The 23,744-nt window shown below is 40.1% G+C and overlaps 1 protein-coding gene across 29 annotated transcripts in view, besides 1 other annotated feature; it reads left to right on the top strand.

Moving 5' to 3' along the window:
• ATAD2B (ATPase family AAA domain containing 2B) overlaps positions 1–23,744 on the top strand; it is a 249,155-nt gene that overhangs the window by 29,537 nt on the left and 195,874 nt on the right. For 18 of the 29 annotated variants that reach the window (XR_001738780.3, XR_001738782.3, XM_006712030.5 and 15 more), the window contains exons 2-9: positions 1,617–1,768; positions 9,188–9,237; positions 9,602–9,755; positions 11,758–11,860; positions 12,714–12,822; positions 13,952–13,993; positions 16,832–16,948; positions 21,683–21,758. Coding sequence is in view for 26 of the 29 variants with exons in the window: in XM_006712030.5 (XP_006712093.1) it covers positions 1,617–1,768; positions 9,188–9,237; positions 9,602–9,755; positions 11,758–11,860; positions 12,714–12,822; positions 13,952–13,993; positions 16,832–16,948; positions 21,683–21,758 (803 nt within the window). In the remaining 3 variants the exon portion in view is untranslated. The remainder of the gene's footprint in view (positions 1–1,616; positions 1,769–9,187; positions 9,238–9,601; positions 9,756–11,757; positions 11,861–12,713; positions 12,823–13,951; positions 13,994–16,831; positions 16,949–21,682; positions 21,759–23,744) is intronic. The other 11 variants (NR_125717.2, XM_047444799.1, XM_011532920.4 and 8 more) reach the window with 1 other exon arrangement.
• Positions 5,418–5,547: an enhancer, noted in NCBI's record as "active region_15417". NCBI's record gives its function as "activates an Ori minimal core promoter by ATAC-STARR-seq in GM12878 lymphoblastoid cells {active_cell/tissue: GM12878}" and the evidence as "EXISTENCE:reporter gene assay evidence [ECO:0000049][PMID:35858748]".

Raw genomic sequence — 23,744 nt, 5'->3', positions numbered from 1 at the left:
ACTGATAAAAATATAAATGAATAAATGAATTTGGGGGGACAGGTTAAGCTCTCTGTTAAAATGCCAACTACAAATGTAGAAGGAATGATGGAATTAGATAATCACTATCTTTGTGGTATTTGATAATGGCAAGAGTAGTCAATGAATACTAAGGCTGGTTGGTAGAGATTTGATGAGGAACAGGATATTGGTGAATTATCAAAATAATCCCCCATAATGTATACATCAAATACAAAGGAAAACATAGTTACTTTACAGTGAAGAAACCTGGCAGACACCAGGTTGACCAAGTGATGAGGGTTAACATCCCTAGGGATGGGAAGGATAGGTATAGTATGCACAGCATCATTTCTGTATATTCTTTTTAAGAATATGTGGCCTGAATCTGATTATTAGGAACATCAGCTGGGCCCAGATTGAGGGTCATCCTAGAGAATGAAAGGCCTGTACTTTTTAATTTTTTTTGAGACGGAGTCTCGCTCTGTCACCCAGTCTGGAGTGCAGTGGTTGCTCACTGCAACCTCCACCTCCTGGGTTTGAGTGATTCTTGTGCTTCAGCCTCCCGAGTAGCTGGGATTATAGGCATGTACCACCACACCTGGCTTTTTAAAAAAATATTTTTAGTGGAAATGGGTTCACCAGGCTTGTCTGGAACTCCTGACCTCAGGTGATCTGCCCCGCCTTGGCCTCCCAAAGTGTTGGGATTACATGCATGAGCCACTGCACCTGGCTCGCCTGTACTCTTGACCGTCAAAGACATGAAAGATAGGGAAAGAAGGAAAGACTGATTGAGGGAGACTGAGGAGGTCCATTAACTAAATGCAATATGTGTTTCTGTTTAGGATCCTGCACCTGAAAGAGAGGCATTGTTGGGACATTTGGTGAAATTTGAATATGTCTGTGGTTTGACTCTGTATTATACCAATGTTCATTTCCTGATTGGGGGGTTGTATGGTGGTAATGTAGCAAAGTGCCCTTGTTTTGGGAGGTACATACTGGAGTATTTAGGAGGGTCTGAGGGATTGTGTCATACAAAAAAGATATATATCACACCAAACGTTTAAGAACACACGCCCTTTCTTGAACATTTTTCAAAATAAAAACAAGAAACAACATATTTTTCTGATTATAAATGTAATCTTTCTTGTTTTTATATTTACAGATTATACATTTTGCTATATTTGTAGTATAATTCAGTAAAATTTATTGGTTGACGAAATGCTTGATTATCCAAGAATATTAATAATTCTTTTTTTTTTTTTGAGACAAAGTCTTGCTCTGTCATCCAGGCTGGAGTGCACTGGCATGATCTCGGCTCACGGCAGCCTCCGCCTCCTGGGTTCAAGCGATTCTCTTGCTTCAGCCTCCCAAGCAAGTAGCTGGAATTACAGGTGCCTGCCACCACACCCAGCTAATTTTTTTTTTTTTTTTTTGGTAGAGGCGGGGTTTCACCATGTTGGCCAGTCTGGTCTTGAACTCCTGACCTCAAGTGATCGCCCACCTCGGCCACCCAAAGTGCTGGGATTACAGGAGTGAGCCACTGCCTGGCCCCTAGTATTAACAATTCTATTTATCTTAATAGGAATAATAAATACATTTTTAACATTGTCTTTCAGAAAGTTGAAGTTGATGGTAGTTTAAGTGATAGCCACGTATCTCCTCCAGCCAAACGCACTTTGAAACAACCTGATTCTGTTTGCAAAGACAAATCAAAATCACGAAGTACTGGTCAGCGAGAGGAATGGAACTTATCAACTGGACAGGCCAGGTGAGAAAGGAGAACTCATTGATTGTTTTTTCTTAAATTACTGAATGTGATTCAGGGCTGATATTAATGCTAATTTTCTTAGCTTATAAAATAAGTATCTTGTAAATACTTATAAGTAAATTGTATTAAACTTATTTTATAATTTTTGTATGTAAGTTTATTTTCTATATTTGTTTTATAAAGATACATGGTATGTAATAGAAATTACCATAAGTAAAACAATAAGGATTTTGATGACTCTTGAGTATGCATATGTGTTTATAGTCCTGAAAATTTAAATAAAACATATGGTCAGAGTTATATTTTTATTTGAAAATAAAATCTCCCTTTTTAAAGATTATTATTTCACTTGAATTGATATACTAAGATATAATGACATTTAAATTAATTTTAAAAGACATCTTTTCATCTATTATCCTGTTTTTAACTTAAATTTGCTTTGTGTCTGGTTCAGTATGTATCAAGAAAACTTAATTTTAGTCAGTTTCATAGTAAATTACCGACATTTACTCTGAAACTGACTAAAATTAAGTTTAATTTACTCCCAAATGGTAGTAATGGTTAGGCACACACATAGAAAAGATTTAAACATTGAAATCAGAATCTTTAACTTCTATTTTATGCAAGTCTTTATTTTTATTTTTTCTAATTAAAAACAATTTTTTTTTACATGGGTCTGGGAACTAAAGGGTTCTTTAAACTCTTTAAAGTAGAAGTGCTGATGATGTGTGACTGAACAGAAGTAAAAGGGAAGTCCTTTGTTTTTATTCTTCAAGCATTTAAAAATATTTTGATTTTATATGTGTAGGTAAATTCTGGATACTTTTATTCTCTAGTGAAAAAAATATTTGGGGTTATATAGACTTTGACAGGCTGCGTACATTTATTAGTCCCTAAGGGGTCTCTGTACTTACTAAAATATGCTCCATAAGATGTACCAGTTTATTTTATGTTTTTGTAATTTGCATTATATGGGGCTAAGTAGAAAAATACATGAATCATAGTCTGTTGATTTTTATTTTTCTTTCCCACACCCATACATCTGTGAGATGAAACAGGTCTGGATCATTATGATGATGTTACTTTAGTACTGCCATGTAATTACATTAACTTTTAGACTTGATCTACCTGTTATAATCTCTATCCTTCATTTATTAAATGAGTGAATCAAATATCTTCTAGATAAATATTCCTAACAATGTTCTTTTAGTGTTAAAATTGGGCTTTTAAGATGATTTTAACAGTTTATTCAAGTGCAAGTAATATACTAGATTTCTCTTATTTTATCCACCCAGCAGGCCTTTATGTAAATTGATCTTGATATTTCTTTTCTTTCTTTCTTTTTTTTTTTTGAGATGGAGTTTTGCTGGAGTGCAATGGCGCTATCTTTGCTTACTGCAACCTCTGTCTCCCAGGTTCAAGTGATTCTCCTGCCTCAGTCTCCCGAGTATTTGGGATTACAGGCATGCGCCACCACGCCCAGCTAATTTTGTATTTTTTGTAGAGACAGGGTTTCTCCATGTTGGTCAGGCTGGTCTTGAACTCTGGACCTCAGGTGATCCACCCGCCTCGACCTCCCAAAGTGCTGGGATTACAGGCACGAGCCACCGTGCCTGGCCGATATTTCATATAGAAGTCTTTCATATAAAAAGGCCTCAAAAATTTTGGGAGAGCATATGAAAGATATGCTTCCATTTAGGAATCATTTAGGTACCGTAGAGTGAGATATTTCTTTAAAAAAATCCTAGATGCATTTTGAGTAAAAAACTGAACTAATGAATACTAATACATTTACTGTTTCTGTTTTGGCAAAAGGACAATGTTTAGTAACTCACACAATTTAAAAAGATTTTTGAGGCCAGGCATGTGGCTCATGCCTGTAATCCCAGAACTTTGGGAGGCCAAGGCAGGAGGATTGCTTGAGCCCAGGAGTTCAAGAACAGCCTGGGCAACATAGTGAGACCTCATCTCTGTGAAATACTAAAAAATTAGCTTCAGGCACATGCTTGTAGTCCGATCTACTCGAAAGGCTAAGGCTGGAGGATGCCATGATCCTAGCAGTTTGAGGCTACAGTGAGCTGTGATCACGCCATCGCACTCCATCCCGGGTGGCAGAGTGAGACCTGTCTTCGTAAAAAAAAAAAAAAAAAAGTTTTTTTTTTTTTTAGTTTATTCATCTAGGAGTCTGAGTAACTGTTAAACTTTTAGAATTAAAATCTTTTGATGTTTCAGATGACCTGAAAATAAAATGCAATTTGACCTATTAGATTCAATAGAATTTAATTTTAAGGAAAACTTGTAGTTAAAAATATTTTAGATTTTGAGATAATATAAGTACAAAAAATTAAGAATTACTTGAAGGCTTGTATTTGTTTTTATGTCATGAACCTGAGAATCTTGATTCCTTTATTTTGGTAATCTAAACTCTTATGAGCATCTAAGGTAAACTTATTGAAGTCCTTTCACAAAAAATAATTTGTTAGAAATAATAATTCATATGGAGGAAAATTGAATACAGATAAGAATTAGTATTAGCTATGAAAAATAATGAATTCTAAAGAACTTTGCAAAGACCACTAAGGTCGTTAAATAAATTACTGTTAATTGGCAAAATAAATTTCCATTTTAGAGTTAGGTAATTGGATGAAGATAGAGATAAAAGTGGACCTAGAACTTCTGAATCTTCCTAAGTGATTTGAGATAGATTATGAGTTTTCTTTTGGGGTGAAACCTGGGTTTAAAGGCCCAAGTGTATCAACAGAATTTTAATGATTGATACTTTTAGTAAAATAGGATGTTTTTGGTCAAAAATATTTTTTAATATATAGTTTTTATATTGTATATAGAAATTCCCAAATATACATACTAATATAGATAGATGTTGTAGCTTACAAATACTGTGAGTACAGATGCTATTTTATTGACTTTTTTGGTCAGCGGATATTTATTTAGCTACTAGTCATTTATTTAACCTGATATATATCTAGAATAATACGCATACTCTAAGATACAGACAAATTGAAATTTTCATAAGACTTACTGTACACTTGGCTGGGTGTGGTGGCTCACGCCTGTAATTCCAGCACTTTGGGAGGCCAAGGGTGGTGGATCACTTGAGGCCAGGAGTTGGAGACCAGTCTGGCCAACATGGTGAAATCCCATTTCTACTAAAAATACAAAAATTAGCTAAGCAAGGCGGCGCGTGCCTGTACCCAGCTAGTTGGGAGGCTGAGGCACGAGAATTGCTTGAACCTGGGAGACAGAGGTTGCAGTTAGCTGAGATCGTACCACTGCACTCTAGCCTGGATGACAGAGTGAGACTCTGTCTTAAAAAAAAAAAAAAAAGAAAAGAAAAAACCGGGCGCAGTGGCTCACGCCTGTAATCCCAGCACTTTGGGAGGCCGAGGCGGGCGGATCACGAGGTCAGGAGATAGAGACCATCCTGGCTAACACGGTGAAACCCCGTCTCTACTAAAAAATACAAAAAATTAGCCAGGCGTGGTGGCGGGTGCCTGTAGTTCCAGCTACTCAGGAGGCTGAGGCAGGAGAATGGCGTGAACCAGGGAGGCGGGGCTTGCAATGAGCCAAGATCGCGCCACTGCACTCCAGCCTGGGCCACAGAGCGAGACTCCGTCTCAAGAAAAAGAAAAAAAAGATTTATTGTGTACTGAAATGTAGCATGCTTGAAAGTTTCCTTTTGTGGTTAGGTAATGAGGAAGTAGTGAGGTGAGGCAGAAGTATAACCACCTATGTGGACTGCTGAGGCATATTAGAATTGAGGAGTGGTAGTGGTTAAGTGACGTCTGTCAGAACTTGGGCTTTTTTGAATTGAGGTTTATAACCCTCATAAATCATTAAATGCCTTGAGTTTATATGGGAAAGGGAGAATAAGTATGATTTTTAAGTCTGATATTGCAATAGCGTGTGCCCCAGATAATTAAAGCTGTAGAAAGTTCTAACGTAATAATCACCTAATGCAAAGTGAAACTGGTTCCATTTAAAAATTCAGGAAACAGGGTTAGGTGCAGCGGCTCACGCCTGTAATCCCAGCACTTTGGGAGTCTGAGGTGGGGGTCGGGGCGGGGGGGTATCATCTGAGGTCAGGAGTTGGAGACCAGCCTGGCCAACATAGTGAAACCCTGTCTACACTAAAAATACAAAAATTAGCCAGGTGTGGTGGTGCACGCCTGTACTGCTTGGGAGGCTGAGGCATGAGAATTGCTTGAATCCAGGAGGCGGAGGTTGCAGTGAGCCAAGATAGAGCCACTGCACTCCACCGTGGGCGACAGAGTGAGGCTCTGTCCCCTCAAAAAATAATAAATAATAAATAAAAATTCAGGAAACGATACAGGGAAAAAAATCTCCAACCCACCTTCCTTCTTTTCAAAAAATAGCTACCCACTCAATTTAAGTGAACAACTTTTGAGAACATTCATATAATACAGAAACTTTTAGGCATATACGTTTAAGCAGGCTAACCCTTACAAAATCTCAGTGTAGGCTGGGCGTGGTGGCTTACGCCTGTAATCTTAGCAATTTGGGAGGCCAAGGCGGGTGGATCACCTGAGGTCAGGAGTTCAAGATCAGCCTGGCCAACATGGTGAAACCCTGTCTCTACTAAAATACAAAAATTAGCTGGGCATGATGGCGGGTGCCTGTAATCCCAGCTACTCGGGAGGCTGAGATGAGAGAATCACTTGAACCCGGGAGATGGTGGTTGCAGTGAGCCAAGATCGCACCACTGCACTCCAGCCTGGGTGGCTGAGCAAGACTCCACCTCAAAAAAAAAAAAAAAAAATCTCAGTATATTAAATCTTTTAATATACTCATGTATTTCATGTCGTGTCTCCTTTTTCAGTCTCCCTTTTATAAAGATGATGATGACAATAATCTATGACTATAAGGTCATTGGATCAATTGAAGAACAAGTTTTTAAAGATTTTTTCTTAAAACAGATCTTTCATTAGTAATAAAAGCCAAGTAAGCATTGTCTTCTTTAGAGCAGACAAAAAGCTTATTGTGCTTTTTTCCCCAATGATGTTACCATTGTTCTGAAAAGTTTTAGATTTCTTTTGTGGAATGACTTTAGGGTCTGCATCTTATTCTTTTGAACAATTCAAGTGATGTGAAATTCCAACCATTTGGCTTTGTATATAGTCAGAATTCATTTGGTGCCAAGACTTGTGAATAAACTGATCAAGCTGAGTTAATGCTTTGTTGGGTCTAAAGACAAAGTATATTTATGAAGTAATAAAGTTGGTTTTTCTGTGTGGTTTTAAGTGGATTTTGAGAGTGATTCTTAAGAATTCCAGGAATGCATTGTGTAATGACAACGTTGTAAGAATACCTGTATTACATCCATTTAGTTACTTTATAGTCACACTCATATACCTGGAGAATCATGTGCATTGTATACAGTGGTGCTAAAAATGAAATTTTCTCCAAGATAGTATATTAGGTAAAGGTATTTTTTTTGTTGTTTTCTAGAGGAAAGGCGGGGGGGCTAGATTTTTGTTGTTATTTTTTTGACAATCTGAAGATGCGTAGTAGTATGAGGGTTTTTTTTGTTTTGTTTTTTGTTATTTATTATTTATTTTTTGTTTTTAGACGGAGTCTCGCTCTGTCACCCAGGCTGGAGTGCAGTGGCGCGATCTCGGCTCACTGTAAGCTCCACCTCCCAGGTTCACGCCATTCTCCTGCCTCAGCCTCCCGAGTAGCTGGGACTGCAGGTGCCTGCCACCACGCCTGGCTGATTTTTTTGTATTTTTAGTAGAGATGGGGTTTCACCGTGTTAGCCAGGATGGTCTCGATCTCCTGACCTCGTAATCTGCCCGCCTCGGCCTCCCAAAGTGTTGGGATTACAGGCATGAGCCACCGCGCCCAGCCTGTTTTTTGTTTTTTAGATGGAGCCTTGCTCTGTCACCTGGGCTGGAGTGCAGTGATGTGATGTCCACTCACTACAACATCTGCCTCCTGGGTTCAAGCAATTCTCCTGCCTCAGCCTCCCGAGTAGCTGGGATTGCAGGTGCCCGCCACCACGCCCAGCAATTTTTGTATTTTTGGTAGAGACGGGGTTTCACCATGTTGGCCAGGCTGGTCTCGAACTCCTGACCTCAGGTGATCCACCTGCCTCGGCCTCTCAAAGTGCTGGGATTATAGGCGTGAGCCATCGCGCCTGGCTTGAGTTTTTGTTTATACCCTTTAGTCGTCTTAACTGTGACCTTTGCTGGGCCAGGGGTATTGTGATGTACAATATATTTATAATTTAACTTGAAGAGTACTGGAGTAACCAAAAATGTTAGATTATTTTAATTAAAAATTTGTGCAAACCACATAGAAGGCAGTCATAGGGGCTGGGCGCGGTGGCTTACGCCTGTAATCCCAGCACTTTGGGAGGCCGAGGTGGGCAGATCACCTGAGGTCAGGGGTTTGAGACCAGCCTGACCAACATGGTGAAACCCCATCTGTACTAAGAATACAAAAATTAGCCGGACATGGTGGCACGTGCCTGTAATTCCAGCTACTTGGGAGGCTGAGGCAGGAGAATCACTTGAGCCTGGGAGACGGAGGTAGCAGTAAGCCGAGATCGCGCCACTGTACTCCAGCCTGGGCGACAGAGCAAGACTCTGTCTTGTGGGGAGAAAAAAAGGAAGGCAGTCATACATATTTGTGATTTTCTGGATGTCCTTTCCCTAGTTTTTTAATCTTCGAAACTAATAATTGTTGGATATTTCAAAAATATCTTAGTTTGCATTGACAACTCTTTTATTATGCAGCAATTTAGTTTTTACTTTTGAACTTTCTGACTGTACTAAGAAGTATGGTGACTTTTTCCTAGTCCTCATGTTTTGATGGCCTTTTTAGTAACTTTCCAGTGATTTACATTTCTCTTCTTCCACCCAAAAGAGAGAATTGTAAAATGGCTCTTTCGATAAATCAGCTGTTTGATTTGTCAGATTAAATGTGTAATAAAATACTTTGAAGAAATTATTAAATGATATTGGTATTCAAGCACTTTTTTCTTACTGTTTATTGTGTTAATAAATTTATCATTGTTTGAATTTTATTTCATCAACCAAAACCAATAGGTAATGCCTGTGACCCCTGCTACTCATGGTCTCAGTTAATTTTATGGTATATATTAAGCTTAAGCCTTTTTTTTGGGTTTTGATTTGTAGAGTTGATGGCAGAGTAAACTTAGTGTATAATCTGTTATTAAAGCTTTTCTTGAAGTAATGAAATGGCTTTTAACTAGCTAGTATATTTTATTAATTGACATATTACCAATCTTACAGTAAAAAAAGTTATCTTTACTTTTAAAAAAGTTTTAAAGATTAAAATAATTCCAGCAGTATTTCATTTCTTGCTTATATAAGCAAATGTTGATGTGTTTGCATATTAAATATTATTGTGTTCTAGGTTAACTTCTCAGCCTGGTGCTACATTACCAAATGGACATAGTGGCTTATGTGAGTATTCTATTATAAAACTGGTTAGTTTTAAAATTCTTACAATGTTAGAGAAAGCAGTAAAGTGGGGAAAAATAGAGTGATTTAATAGTGTGCTGAGCATACAGTTGGAAATGGCTGAATTTCAGTCATAGTAAAAAAAGTATGTAATTGTTAAACTTTGAGAAATCAGCATACCTGAAATTTAAATTATTTATGACAGATTGTAAAATTTATAGAAATTTTAGATTATTGACTATTAAAGCCATTTAAAAAGTTATATTAAATTTTTTGTAGTCTTTTAAAAGTAATTTTTTGATTTTTTTTTTCTTTTCTGTCTTTCTGTATTCTGTACTTTGAAATGTAAATATCTCTCTTCTTGTAGCCCTTCGAAGCCATCCCCTTCGAGGGGAAAAGAAGGGAGATGGGGACCTTTCTTGTATAAATGGTGACATGGAAGTCAGAAAAAGTTGTCGTTCCAGGAAAAACAGATTTGAAAGTGTGAACCAGAGTTTGTTATTTGATCAACTAGTAAATAGGTATGAATGCCAAGTATTAAGCAGTTTCATTTAATTATTTGGTTTTTAAGACAGTTACGTTTTAAAAAAATAACATAAGCAACGACTTAGCAATCAATACAGTTCTTTAAAAACTTAACTTGAAGCTGGGTGTGGTGGGTCAGTTCAACATTTTGAATTGAAGATGTTTTGAGACTGAGTATGTGGGATTGAGTCTCTTAGCTAGTCAGTGAGCTGACTATCCGTTCAACGTCTGCATCTGTAAAACTTTACTCTTCTCAGATAATATGTCATCCTACTTAATCTTTACAATAGCCTGGAGAGGGTGGTCAGTACAATCGCTATTTGACAAGAGAGGAAATTATATTCTACAGTGATAACATCAAATTTGGGCTTAAGTTACTATTAAAACTTAAGTATTGTTCAGTATCTAGATGCATAGTTAATGTTATCTAAGTATTTGTTTAAAATATAAAATAAAAATTGCTAAGATAGCCAAGTGTGGTGGCTGGAGACTGTAGTCATAGCTGCTCAGGAGGCTAAAGTGGGAAGATCCTGTGCCCGGGAGTTCAAGACCAGTCACGGCAGCATAGTGAGACCTCAATCCCTCGCCCAGGCTGGAGTGCAGTGACGCGATCTTGGCTCACTGCAACATCTGCCTCCCAGGTTCAAATGATTCTCCTGCCTCAGCCTTCCGAGCAGCTGGGACTATAGGCGCGTGCCACCATGCCCGACTAATTTTTTGTATTTTTAGTAAAGACGGGGTTTCACCAGGTCTTGATCTCCAGACCTTGTGATCTGCCTGCCTTGGCCTCCCAAAGTGCTGGGATTACAGGCATGAGCCACCGTGCCCAGCACCCCATCTCTTAAAAAAAATTGCTAAGACGTTAGCATGTATTTCTTTTTCCCTTTTTTTTTTTTTGAGATGGAGTCTCGCTCTGTCACCCAGGCTGGAGTGCAGTGGCGTGATCTCGGCTCACTGCAAGCTCTGCCTCCTCAGTTCATGCCATTCTCATGCCTCAGCCTCCCAAGTAGCCGGGACTACAGGTGTCCGTCACCATGCCTGGCTAATTTTTTGTATTTTTAGTAGAGATGGGGTTTCACCGTGTTAGCCAGGATGGTCTCTATCTCCTGACCTCGTGATCCGCCTGCCTCTGCCTCCCAAAGTGCTAGGATTACAGGCGTGAGCCACCGCTCCCGGCCTAGCATGTATTTCCTGAATGTCAGTGTTCTACTTGAATTTCTAAAAGAGTCTTTCCAGTAAACCTTATATTGGCTTTAAACTTTTTACAAATTGTTTTATTTTATACAATTACTTATTTTTATACAAATAAAGATAAAATAATTTTATACAATTATTTTGTACAAGTTATTCTTAATACCATCTTCAATAAAAAGATTGAATTTGTATTTTTTCAGTGTCATGTATCTGATAATTATTCATAGAGGCATTATATATTTTTTATTGGGAACTTATTAACAAAAGCCTTATATTTAAAAAGTTTTATTTTAATGTATATATTAAGGTAGAAGATATCCTGGTTTTGCTTTTCTTATTGGGCACTGTATTCTGTTGATGGATGCTGGTTATGAAAGAGGTATTTAATTGGGATATGGTGGGGCGCATCACTGTAATTGCAGCACTTTGGGAGGCTGAGATGAATGAATCGCTTGAGCCCAGGAGTTCAAGAACAGCCTGGGCAACATGGTGAAACCCCATCTCCACAAAAAAATATAAAAGTTAGCTGGGCATGGTAGTGCATGCCTGTAGTCTCAGATACTCGGGAGGCTGAGGTGGGAGGATCACTTGAGCCCAGGAGGTTGAGGCTGCAGTGAGCCATGAACAGGCCACTGCACTCCAGCCTGGGTGACAGAGGGACACTCTATCTAAAAAAAACAAAAAAGAAAAAAAAGTTGTGTGTAGTTACACATCAGAGATGATTTGATTACACTTTCACAAAGAGCTCTTTTATGTATATGGTGCCACCATTGTCTAAATCCTGATTTTATTATGTGATTGTAGCACTGCTGAAGCTGTACTACAGGAAATGGACAACATTAACATCCGACGGAATCGTCGATCAGGAGAAGTAGAACGACTTCGAATGTGGACAGATACAGAATTTGTGAGTATATTAGCTGTAGCAATCTTTGTAAATATTTTTCATTTTAATTGAGGAATTTAAAGGGAGAATGCAACAGTTGGATGTTTTTGAATTAGCATGAGTGTTCCTTCGTCTTCATTTCCAACTTAGTTTGGGATTTTATTGCTTGCTTGTTTCTTTTCTTCATTCTCCTCTTGCTACAACCTTTCCAAGAAGACCCTCTTCACTTTTGCTGGATGAGTCACCTTAAAGTGCAACTGTGATTCTGTTATTCTTCTGATTTGAACCATTAATGGTTTTTTGTTGTGCACTGAAGATTAAAAACACCTTGATGTTGATGATCTGGCTTCAACTTTGTTTTCTCACACACCATTGCCTAAGTGTAAACAAATCATTCTTATTCCTATAACTTTTACTCTTGTTAATATTTCTAGTTAGTGACTGATGCAGTTCTACCTTTGTTTCAAGGTTCATTTCAGATACTGCCTCTCTTCCCTTTACCCCATAACAAAAGGAGGGTCTTCTCTTTGAATTCTGGAGTACTTTGTACCTCTCTTTATGACATTTAACTTATTTTACTTTCTTTTATAATTACCTGTGATTGTCTTATTTCCCTCCTACTAGGCTGTAATTTGCTTGAGGGAGAAAGTATGTTGCTGGCATTATGTGTTTTACATTTTTATAAGTTTATTGTAAGTGTTTTCCCTTTTATTTCTTACATTTATTGAATTTAGGAAGCTCCATTTTCACGAATCTATGGCACGCAAATAGGTGCTCAATAAATTTTGTTGAGCAGGTATGTCCCATTGGGTTGTTTTTTTGTAGTGGAGAATAAATGTCATGTTGCTATTTGACAGATTTCTTTCTTTAAAAGGAAAACATGGATATGTATTCAAGAGTGAAAAGGCGAAGAAAGTCACTAAGAAGAAATAGTTATGGGATACAAAATCATCATGAAGTTTCTACTGAGGGTGAAGAAGAAGGTTTGTAAAGCACTTTTTGGAATTCTAGAAAGTTCAGGTGGGAGGGAAGAAAAATAAAATATACAAGTAATATATGTAGAATGTTGCTGAGTAGTTGGTTTTTGGATTTTGAGGTCTATATTGTATAATTTGAAATAATTTAAATTCAGTTGGCAATCTGAGTTTCATTTCCTTCATTTGGAAAAATACTTTTAAGTGCACATTATACATTATGTAATGTATTTTATTAGTAGCCATTGGTAGTCCTTCAGTGATCTGGTATGGGATTTACTTTGGGCTCATTTGCTTCTTAGATGAGGCCTTTTTTGTACTTAGGCACCTTCTAACTGGATAGTTACTTTGCTATCCGTGGCCTCTAAATCTCTGATTATGTGGATCTCAAATTTAGGTATGGTCTGAGGAATAAAGAGTAAAGTTTAGAGAGAGACTTCTAATACCAGTGGAAAGGGACTATACTGTTCTTTTCTGAGGCATTTGTGGGTTCTGAACTGAAGAACCCAGACTGACCTTGTAGGGCCAGAGTTGGGAACATGACAGCAGCACATTGGCCCCATGAATTATAAATTGATGAACAGTACACCTATAGGATTTAATTCTGTAGGCATTAATCTTTTTTTTTTGAGACAGAGTCTTGTTCTTGTTGCCCAGGCTGGAGTACAGTGGCGCAATCTTGGCTCACTGCAACCTCCGCCTCCTGGGTTCAAGCGATTCTCCTGCCTCAGCCTTTCGAGTACCTAGTATTACAGGCGTGCACCACCATGTCTGGCTAATTTTTGTATTTTTAGTAGAGAGGGGTTTTTGCCTTGTTGGCCAGGCTTGTGTTGAACTCCTGACCTCTGGTGATCCACCCGCTTCGGCCTCCCAAAGTGCTAGCATTACAGGCGTGAGCCACTGCACCCGGCCTGGCATTAATCTTTATTGAAATGGATTTTCAGAAGATTCAGAAGATTGTAAATGCAGATTAGTAGTACTTATAGGGGAATCTTACTAGTTCCCATTATTTGTGTAGTTTAGATTGAGAAGACTATGTTTTTTAAAAATTCTGTAGTTAATATTTTATTAGTCAATTTTGAAGAGGTGATATTTCTAATGAAGGTACTTTATTGAGCAAATATTATTGTTGTTACAGCTAGAACCTCTAAATTGCTTCCTTTGGAGAAAATCAGTATAGGTGAGACAGATTTATAATGCGATTCTTGCCTTTTCATTAACTGAACATCTTTGTAGAGTTTCCAAAGTAGATATGCCATATTTAGAAATTCTGCTTGTAATACTGTGTTACTGTACAGACATTTTTCAAAAAGTAATGTTTTGGATATTTAGATAACTTATTTAGGTACAAGTATTTTATAGTATTATTTAGATAAATACTGTATTTGTTGATTTTTCTCTACAACCTAACGATAAAAATTTTTCAAATAATGCTTTCTGATGTCATGAGTAAAATATAAAGTCCTTGGCAGGTTTTTTTTTTTTTTTTTTTTTGAGACAGTTTTTCACTCTGTCACCCAGGCTGGAGCACATTGTCACAATCACAGTTCACTGCAGCCTTGACCTCCCAGGCTCAAGCGATCCTCCCATGTCAGCCTCCTGAGTAGCTGGGACCATAAGCACATGCCATCATGCTCGGCTAAATCTTTTGTAATTTTTGTAGAGATGGGGTCTCAATATGTTTGTTGCCCAGGCTGGTCTTGATCTCGTGAGCTCAAATAGTCTTCCTGCCTCAGCCTCCCAAAGTGCTGGGTTTATAGGCGTAAGCCACCATGTCCAGCCCTTTGCAGTTTTAGTCTTCTACTTCCCTAAGTATCACTGCCAGCTTTATATTTTTTTCTATGCTTTAATATGATTGTGTTGTATTGACAGTTCTTGTGGTTAAAAAGTTACATATTGCATTTGGGCGTTCATATGCTTACTAATTTTCATCAGATCTTTTTTTTTTTGTTGTTGTTGTTGTTGAGATGGAGTCTCGCTCTGTTGCCCAGGCTGGAGTGCAGTGGTGCAGTCTCGGCTCACTGCAAGCTCCGCCTCCTGGGTTCATGCCATTCTCCTGCCTCAGCCTCCCGAGTAGCTGGGACTACAGGCACCCGCCACCATGCCTGGCTATTTTTTTTTGTATTTTTTGTAGAGATGGGGTTTCACTGTGTTAGCCAGGATGGTCTCGATCTCCTGACCTCGTGATCCTCCCACCTTGGCCTCCCAAAGTGCTGGGATTATAGGCATGAGCCACTGCGCCTGGCCTTTTTTTTTTTTTTTTTTTTTTTTAAATAGAGGCTGGGTGTGGTGGCTCACCCCTATAATTCCAGCACTTTCGGAGGCTGAGGCGGGTGGATCACTTGAGATCAGGCGTTTGAGGCCAGGCTGGCCAACATAGTGAAACCCTGTCTCTACCAACAATACAAAAATTAGCCGGGCATTGTGGTGCACGCCTGTAATCGCAGCTACTCGGGAGGCTGAGATATGAGAATCGCCTGAACCCGAGAGGCAGAGGTTTCAGTGAGCCAAGATCATGCACTCCAGCCTGGGTGACAGTGAGATTCTGTTTCAAAAAAAATAAAAATAAAAAAAAAATAGAGATGGAATCTTGCTATGTTGCCCCAGGCTGAACTCAAACTTCTGGGCTCAAGCCATCCTCCCGCCTTAGCCTCCTAAGTATTTGGGACTAGAGGCAGGTGCCTCTGCGTCCAGCTAGACTCTTATTTTAACTGTACTTAGATGTTATAGCTATTGCCAAATCATTTTTAAAAAATAATATTTTGGCTCACGCCTGTAATCCCAGCACTTTGGGAGGCCTAGGTGGGCAGATTGCCTGAAGTCAGGAGTTCAAGACCAGCTTGGTCAATGTGGTGAAACCCCGTCTCTACTGAAAATACAAAATTAGCCAAGCATGGTGATACATGCTTGTAGTCCCAGCTACTCAGGAGGCTGAGGCAGGCGAATCGCCTGAGCCTGGGAGGCAGAGGTCGCAGTGAGCTGAGATCGCGCCATTGCACTCCAGTCTGGGCAACAAGAGCAAAACTCCATCTCAAAAAAAAAGAAAAACCTTTTAGGATTTATGTACATTATAATTTATTTTTTAAGTGTATACAGTTTAAAAAATGAATTATAGCTGGGCGCGGTGGCTCACGCCTATAATCCCAGCACATTGGGAGGCCGAGGGGGGTTGATCACCAGGTCTGGAGTTCGAGACCATCTTGGCCAATATGGTGAAACCCCATCTCTACTAAAAATACAAAAAATGAGCCGGGCGTGGTGGCACGTGCCTGTAGTCCCAGCTACTCGGGAGGCTGAGGCAGGAGAATTGCTTGAATCTAGGAGTCAGAGGTTGCAGTGAAGCCCAGATCACGCCACTGTACTCCAGCCTGGCGACAGAGACTCTGTGTCAAAAAAAAAAAAAAAAAAAAAAAGAATTGATCACTCATGTCAAGAAATAAACTATTACCAATACCCTAGAAGTCTGTTTCATGCTCCCTCTCAATGCTTATGTGCACTTTGCTACCAAAATGTAACTAATCCATGCTTAACTGTGGTCAACAGGCCTAACAAATCATTACACTGCCAACAAAAGTTGCTCTTGCTGTAACATTAGTAATTACCTATAAGCATATTTTTTTGAATTATCAAGTGGTATTTGAATACTAATCTTATTTAGTGGTTAATTGAGCATTGATTGAAGTTTGCTGTAGTTGGGTAAAATTTTAAGTCTGTTTTCTATTATTGCATTGTATGAACAAGGAGAATCAAAGTTCCTAAGTAAATCAAGAGATAAAATATGATCATATTAATTTATTTAGCAGATAATTGTATTGATCATTGGCAGGGAAAGTATTTTCTTTTACATCCATTTAGGTTGATTTTTAATTATGTATGCTTTACGTAATATGTTGGCACTTAAATGTCACCTGTGCAGAAAGAGTAATGGATAAAGTGTAAATATTCAGTTCTAGAGTAGACCAATCCTTTTGAATTAAAATAATGCCTTTTTCTTTTCTTTTTGTGTGTGGGAAACTAGAATCTCAAGAGGAGGATGGAGATATAGAAGTTGAAGAGGCAGAAGGAGAAGAAAATGATAGACCATATAATTTGAGACAGAGAAAAACAGTGGATCGATACCAAGCACCTCCAATAGGTAGGCAACTCTAAATAACTTTTTTCTTTCTGGTAGTTGAGTAACTTATTCTGCCCCACTGCTTTTTTTTTTTTTTGAGACAGAGTCTCGCTCCATCGCCCAGGCTGGAGTGCAGTGGTGCGATCCCAGTTCACTGCAAGCTGTGCCTCCTGGGTTTATGCCATTCTCCTGCTTCAGCCTCCCGAGTAGCTGGGACTACAGGTGCCCGCCACCATGAGGTCAGGAGCTCGAGACCATCCTGGCTAACATGGTGAAACCCCATCTCTACTAAAAATGCCCTACTGCTTTTAAAAAAATTAATATTGCCAAATTTAAAAGAAGGCAATCTCTTATAGGTTTTATGTACTGTATTTTTTTTTACTACATATACTTCTGTGCACACACATGCAACTGAAAGAAAGTCAAAGTACATGGTAGCAGCATTGATTTACATACAGCATGTACATTTTATTTATAGAAGCTTGTGTTTAATAATATGGCTCATGCTTTTGCATTACACTGTATAGTTTACTGAGCACTTTACTTTAATTTATAGCAGTTCTTTAGGGAAAGTATCTCTCTCTCTCTTTTTTTTTTTTTTTTTAAAAACAGAGTCTGCAGTCACCCAGACTGGAGTACAGTGGCATTATCTCAGTGCACTGCAGCCTCTGCCTCCTGGGTTCAAGCAATTCTCCTGCCTCAGCCTCCTGAGTAGCTGGGATTACAGGTGCCCGCAACCACATCTGGCTAATTTTTATATTTTTTTCAGTAGAGACAGGGTTTCACCATGCTGGCCAGGCTGGTCTCGAACTCCTGACCTCAGGTGATTGGCCCACCTTGGCCTCCCAAAGTGCTGGAATTACAGGTGTGAGCCACTGTGCACGGCCTAGGGAGAGTATCTTTATGGTCCAAGAGGTTAAGTGACTTACCCGAGGTCACAAAAATAGTATACGGCTGCAGCTTGGCCAATAACTTAGTTGTTTTCTTTTTTTCTTTTTCTTTTTTTGCTGGCAGAAGGAAAAAGTTAAAAGTTTATCTTTTAGAGAAGGGATCTCACTATGTTGTTCATGGTGCAGTGTAATGGCTGTTCAGAAGCACAAATATAATACACTACAGCCTCAAACTCCTGAGCTCAAGCTATCCTCCTACCTCAATTCCTTGTATAGCTAGAACTACAGGTGTACAACCACCATGCCTAGCTAATTAATTTTTTTTGTAGAAACAGGATCTTGCTGTGTTGCCGAGGCTGGTCTTGAACTCCTGGCCTGAAGGGATTCTCCTGCCTTGGCCTTCCAAAGCACTGTGATGTCTTGAACCTCTGCATCCAGCTGTGTATTCCTTTTTTTTTTTCTTTTGCTGAATAGCATTCTGTGGTGTGGATATATCACAATTTGTTTATCCATTCATTTGTTATGTGACATTATGATCCTTTCCAGTTTTTGGTTATTACAAATAAAGTTGTGATGAACATTCACATGTAGGTCTTTGTGTGGACATATGTTTTTGTATTTCTAACAAATACCAAGGAGTAGAAAGGCTGGGTTTTATGATGAGATATAAGAAGTTACCAAACTCTTTTTTAAAGTGGTTATACCATTTTCACTAAGAGTGTATGAGAGCTGTAGTTGCTCTGTATTCTTGCCAACAATTGGTATACTCAGATTAATTAATTAATTTTAACAGGTATTTATTATAGTTTTAGTTTACATTTCCCTAATGGTGTTGGAGCATCTTTTCATTTGTTTTTCTTTTTGACAGTGTTAAATCTTGGGTAAAATGTCTGTTCAGATCTCTGGCCATTTTTTCAATTGGGTTGTTTGTTTTCTTATTATTGAGTTTTGAGATTCCTTATATGTTCTGGATATTAGACCTTTAACAGATATGTCATTTGCAAATATTTTTAAGACAAGACAGTCTGTTGCTTGTCTTTTTTATTCTCTCAATAGTATCTTTTGAAGAGCAGAAGTTTATTATTTTATTTTATTTTATTTTATTTATTTTGAGATGGAGTCTTGCTCTGTCGCCCAGGCTGGAGTGCAGTGGCATGATCTCGGCTTACTGCAAGCTCCGCCTCCCAGGTTCATGCCATTCTCCTGCCTCAGCCTCCCGAGTAGCTGGGACTACAGGCGCCTGCCACCACGCCTGGCTAATTTTTTTGTGTTTTTAGTAGAGACAGGGTTTCTTCGTGTTAGCCAGGATGGTCTCGATCTCCTGACCTCATGATCCGCCCGCCTCAGCCTCCCAAAGTCCTGGGATTACAGGCGTGAGCCACTGCACCTGGCCTATTTATTCATTTTTTGAGACAGAGTCTCACTCTGTTGCCCAGGCTGGAATGCAGTGGTGCAGTCTTGGCTCACTGCAGCCTCCGCCTCCTGGGTTCAAGCGATTCTCCTGCCTCAGCCTCCCAAGTAGCTGGGACTACAGGCATGCGCTACCACACCTGGCTAATTTTTGTATTTTTAGTAGAGATGGGGTTTCAGCATGTTGGCCAGGCTGATCTCGAACTCTTGTCCTTAGGTGATCCACACATGTTGGCCTCCTAAAGTGCTGGGATTACAGACCTGAGCCACCATGCCTGGCCCATTTGTAATTTTAATGAACTCCAATTTATACATTTTGCTTTTTTTTTTTTTTTTTTTTTTTTTCTTTGGAGATAGGGTCATCCAGGCTGGAGTGCATTGGTGCGAACATGGCTCACTGCATTCTTCTGCTTCAGCCTGCTGAGGTGCATGTCACCATACTTGGCTAATTAAAAAAAAATTTTTTTGTAAAGTTGGGTTCTTTTTTTCTTTTTCTTTTTTTTTGAGATAGTCTCATTCTGTCACCCAGGCTGGAGTGCAGTGGTGCTGTTGGCTCACTGCAGCTTCTACCGCCCTGGTTCAAGTGATTCTCCTGCCTCAGCCTCCCAAGTAGCTGGGATTAACCGTGCCTGGCTAATTTTTGTATTTTTATTACAGATGGGGTTTCACGATCTTGGCCAGGCTGGTCTTGAACTCCTGACCTCTCGTGATCCACCCGCCTTAGCCTCCCAAAGTGCTGGGATTACAAGTTGTGAGCCACAGTGCCCGGCCCGCCCTTCCTTCCCTCCCCTCCCCTCCCTTCCCCTGCCCTCCCCTCCCTTCCCCTCCCCTCCCCTTCCCTCCCCTTCCCTCCCCTTCCCTTCCCTTCCCTTCCTTCTTGCTCTGTCACCTAGGCTGGAGTGCAGTGGCATGATCTCAGCTCACTGCAACCTCTGCCTCCTGGAATCAAGTGATTCTCCTGCCTCAGCCTCTTAAGTAGCTGGGATTACAGGCGCATGCCACCATGCCTGGCTAATTTTTGTATATACATATTTTTTAATAGAGATGGGGTTTCACCATGTTGGTCAGGCTGGCTCGAACTCCTGACCTTAAGTGATCCACTGCGCCTCAAACTAGAGTTGGGTTCTTACCGCGTTGCCTAGGATGGTCTGGAACTCCTGGGCTCAAAGCAGTCCTTTGACTTGGCCTTCCAAAGTCCCGGGACCCTGCCCAGCCTGTAAAAAAAAATTTTAATGGATTGTTCTTTGAATGGATTGTGCTAAATTTCTTTCTTTCTTTTTTTTTTTTTTTTTGAGATGGAGTTTCGCTCTTCTTGCCCAGGCTGGAGTTCAGTGGCACGATCTTGGCTCACTGCAACCTCCGCCTCCTAGGTTCAAGCGATTCTTCTGCCTCAGCCTCCCGAGTAGCTGGGATTACAGGCATGCACCACCACGCCCGGCTAATTTTGTGTTTTTAGTAGAGACAGGGTTTCTCCATGTTGGTCAGGCTGGTCTTGAACTCCTGACCTCAGGTGATCCACCTGCCTCGGCCTCCCAAAGTGCTGGGATTACAGGTGTGAGCCATTGCACCCAGCTAAAATTTTTTTTAATGGATCATGTATCTAAGAAATCTCATAGTCTCAAAGATTAAGTTAACATCTGTTTAGAATGTTTATTTGCAACTTTATAGTATTGCCACAAAATTTTTATTTTCATTTTGCTTCTAGACAGCATTTGGTACTTGAAAACACATGACTAGGTTTTATTTAAAAAGTTAACAGGGGCCGGGCACAGTGGCTCACGCCTGTAATCCCAGTAATTTGGGAGGCCTAGGCGGGCGGCTCATGAGGTCAGGAGTTTGAGATCAGCCTAGCCCACATGGTGAAACCCCGTCTCTACCAAAAATACAAATATTAGCTGGGCGTGGTGGCTGGCGCCTGTAATCCCAGCTACTCAGGAGGCTGAGGCAGGAGAATTGCTTGAATCTGTGAGGCAGAGTTTGCAGTGAGCCGAGATCGCGCCACTGCACTCCAGTTTGGGCGACAGAGTGAGACTCTGTATCAAAAAAAAAAAGAAAAAAAAGTTAACAGGGCTGGGCCCGGTGGCTCATGCCTGTAATCCCAGCACTTTGGGAGGCCGAGGTGGGCGGATGATGAGGTCAGGAGATCGAGACCATCCTGGCCAACATGGTGAAACCCTGTCTCTACTAAAAATACAAAAATTAGCTGGGCGTGGTGGCACCCGCATGTAGTCCCAGCTACTTGGGAGGCTGAGGTAGGAGAATCGCTCGAACTTAGGAGGGAGAGGTTGCAGTGAGCCGAGATCGCGCCACTGCATTCCAGCCTGGCGTTAGAGCAAGACTCTGTCTCAAAAAACAACAACAACAAAAAAGTGAGCAGAAGTCATTTCTACTCCTTTAATACATTAATTTATCAATTTATTAGTTATTTCTCTATTATCCTTTTCTTCCCTTTTAGTACCAGCTCATCAAAAAAAGAGGGAAAACACGCTGTTTGATATTCATAGATCTCCAGCAAGAAGAAGCCATATTAGGTAAGGTTTGTTTTTGAAAGGAAACATTTGCATTTGTCAATGAGAGACTAATTGTGTCTTTCTTTCTTTAATTAGTGACTAACAGTTGTCATCCTATTTAGCTACTATTATCTTCCAGATTCAGTTTGCCTGGAATATTTGTTGTTTTAACAGTTACATTCACTAAAGCTACACAGCTCTTTGGTCTCTTAGCAGAGTTGAATCTAAGGTGACCCATATTGCTTTCATTTGAAGCACTGATTCGAGTTAATCTGTGATATTTTTCCCCCTAATTATGCTTTCTTTTACATGTAGGTACAAAGGAAGGTTTTACTTTTTTTTTTGAGACGGAGTCTCACTTTGTCCCTCAGGCTGGAGGCTGGAGTGCAGTGGCGCAGTCTCGGCTCACTGCAACCTTTTCTCCTGGGTTCAAGCAATTCTCCTGCCTCAGCCTCCCGAGTAGCTGGGATTACAGGTGTGCGCCACCATGCCCAGCTAATTTTCATATTTTTAGTAGAGATAGAATTTCACCATGTTGGCCAGGATGGTCTCAAACTCCTGACCTTGTGAACCCCCTGCCTTGGCCTCTCAAAGTGTTGGGATTACAGGCGTGAGTCATGGCGCCCGACCAGTTTCTACTTTTAAAAGTTTATTTTTTATTCCCTAAAGCTACACAGCTCTTTGGTCTCTTAGCAGAGTTGAATCTAAATGACCCACATTGGTTTCATTTGAAGCATCCATTCAAGTTAATCTTTGATACTTTTTCCCCCTGATTATCCTTTTTTTTTTTTTTTGAGATGGAATCTCGCTCTGTCACCCAGGCTGGAGTGCAGTGGGGCAATCTTGGGTCGCTGCAAGCTCCACCTCCTGGGTTCACGCCATTCTCCTGCCTCAGCCTTCCGAGTAGCTGGGAGTACAGGCATTCGCCACCACACCTGGCTATTTTTTTGTATTTTTAGTAGAGATGGGATTTCACCGTGTTAGCCAGGATGGTCTCGATCTCCTGACCTCCTGATCCGCCTGCCTTGGCCTCCCAAAGTGCTGGCATTGCAGTCGTGAGCCACCACACCCGGCCCTAATTATCCTTTCTTTTACATGTAGAAGAAAGTAGAAACAAAGGAAAGTTTCTACTTTTAAAAGTTTATTTTTTTTTTTTGAGACAGGGTCTTGCTCTGTCACCTAGGCGTGCTATGATCATGGCTCATTGCAGCCTCAGCCTCCTGGACTCAAACAATCCTCCCACCTCAGCCTCCCGAGTAGCTGGGACTACAGGCACACGGCACTATTTTCAGCTAATTTTTATATTGTTTGTAGAGATAGGGTTTTGCCACGTTGCCCAGACTGGTCTTGAACTCCTGGGCTCAAGTGATCCCAAAGTGCTGGGATTACAGGCATGAGCTACTGTGCCCAGCCAAGCTTTTAATTTTTATGAAGTTCAAGTTACTTGTTTTTTATTTTGTGCTTATGCTTTTACTGTTATATCTTAGAATCCATTGCCAACTCAGAGGTCATGAAGATTTGTTCCTATGGTTTCCTCTAATAGTTTATAGTTTTAGCTGTTATGTTTAGGTCTTTGATTTACTTAATTTTTGTATATGGTTTGAGTTTGTTTTGTATAGTTTTGTATACTCTTTGGCTTTTAAGCTCTTTTCTTTTTTTTTTTGGGATGGAGCCTTCCCTGGTCGCCAAGGCTGGAGTGCAGTGACGTGATCTCGGCTCACTGCAACCTCCGCCTCCTTGGTTGAAGCAATTCTCCTGGCTCAGCCTCCCCACTAGCTGGGGTTACAGGCATACACCACCATGCCAGGCTAATTTTTGTATTTTTAGTAGATACTGGGTTTCACCATGTTGGTCAGGCTGGTCTCGAACTTCTGACCTCAAGTGATCTGCCTGCCTCAGCCTCCCAAAGTGCTGGGATTCCAGGCATGAGCCACCATGCCCAGCCCCAACTAGGATTTTGGCTTTTCAGTTATTTACTGGGAAATTATGTATACCACTATTTTTGTT

This window comes from Homo sapiens, chromosome 2 (assembly GCF_000001405.40).
Source record: "Homo sapiens chromosome 2, GRCh38.p14 Primary Assembly".
Taxonomy (NCBI): Eukaryota; Metazoa; Chordata; class Mammalia; order Primates; family Hominidae; genus Homo; species Homo sapiens.
This window is presented reverse-complemented; position numbering and strand designations above follow the sequence as displayed.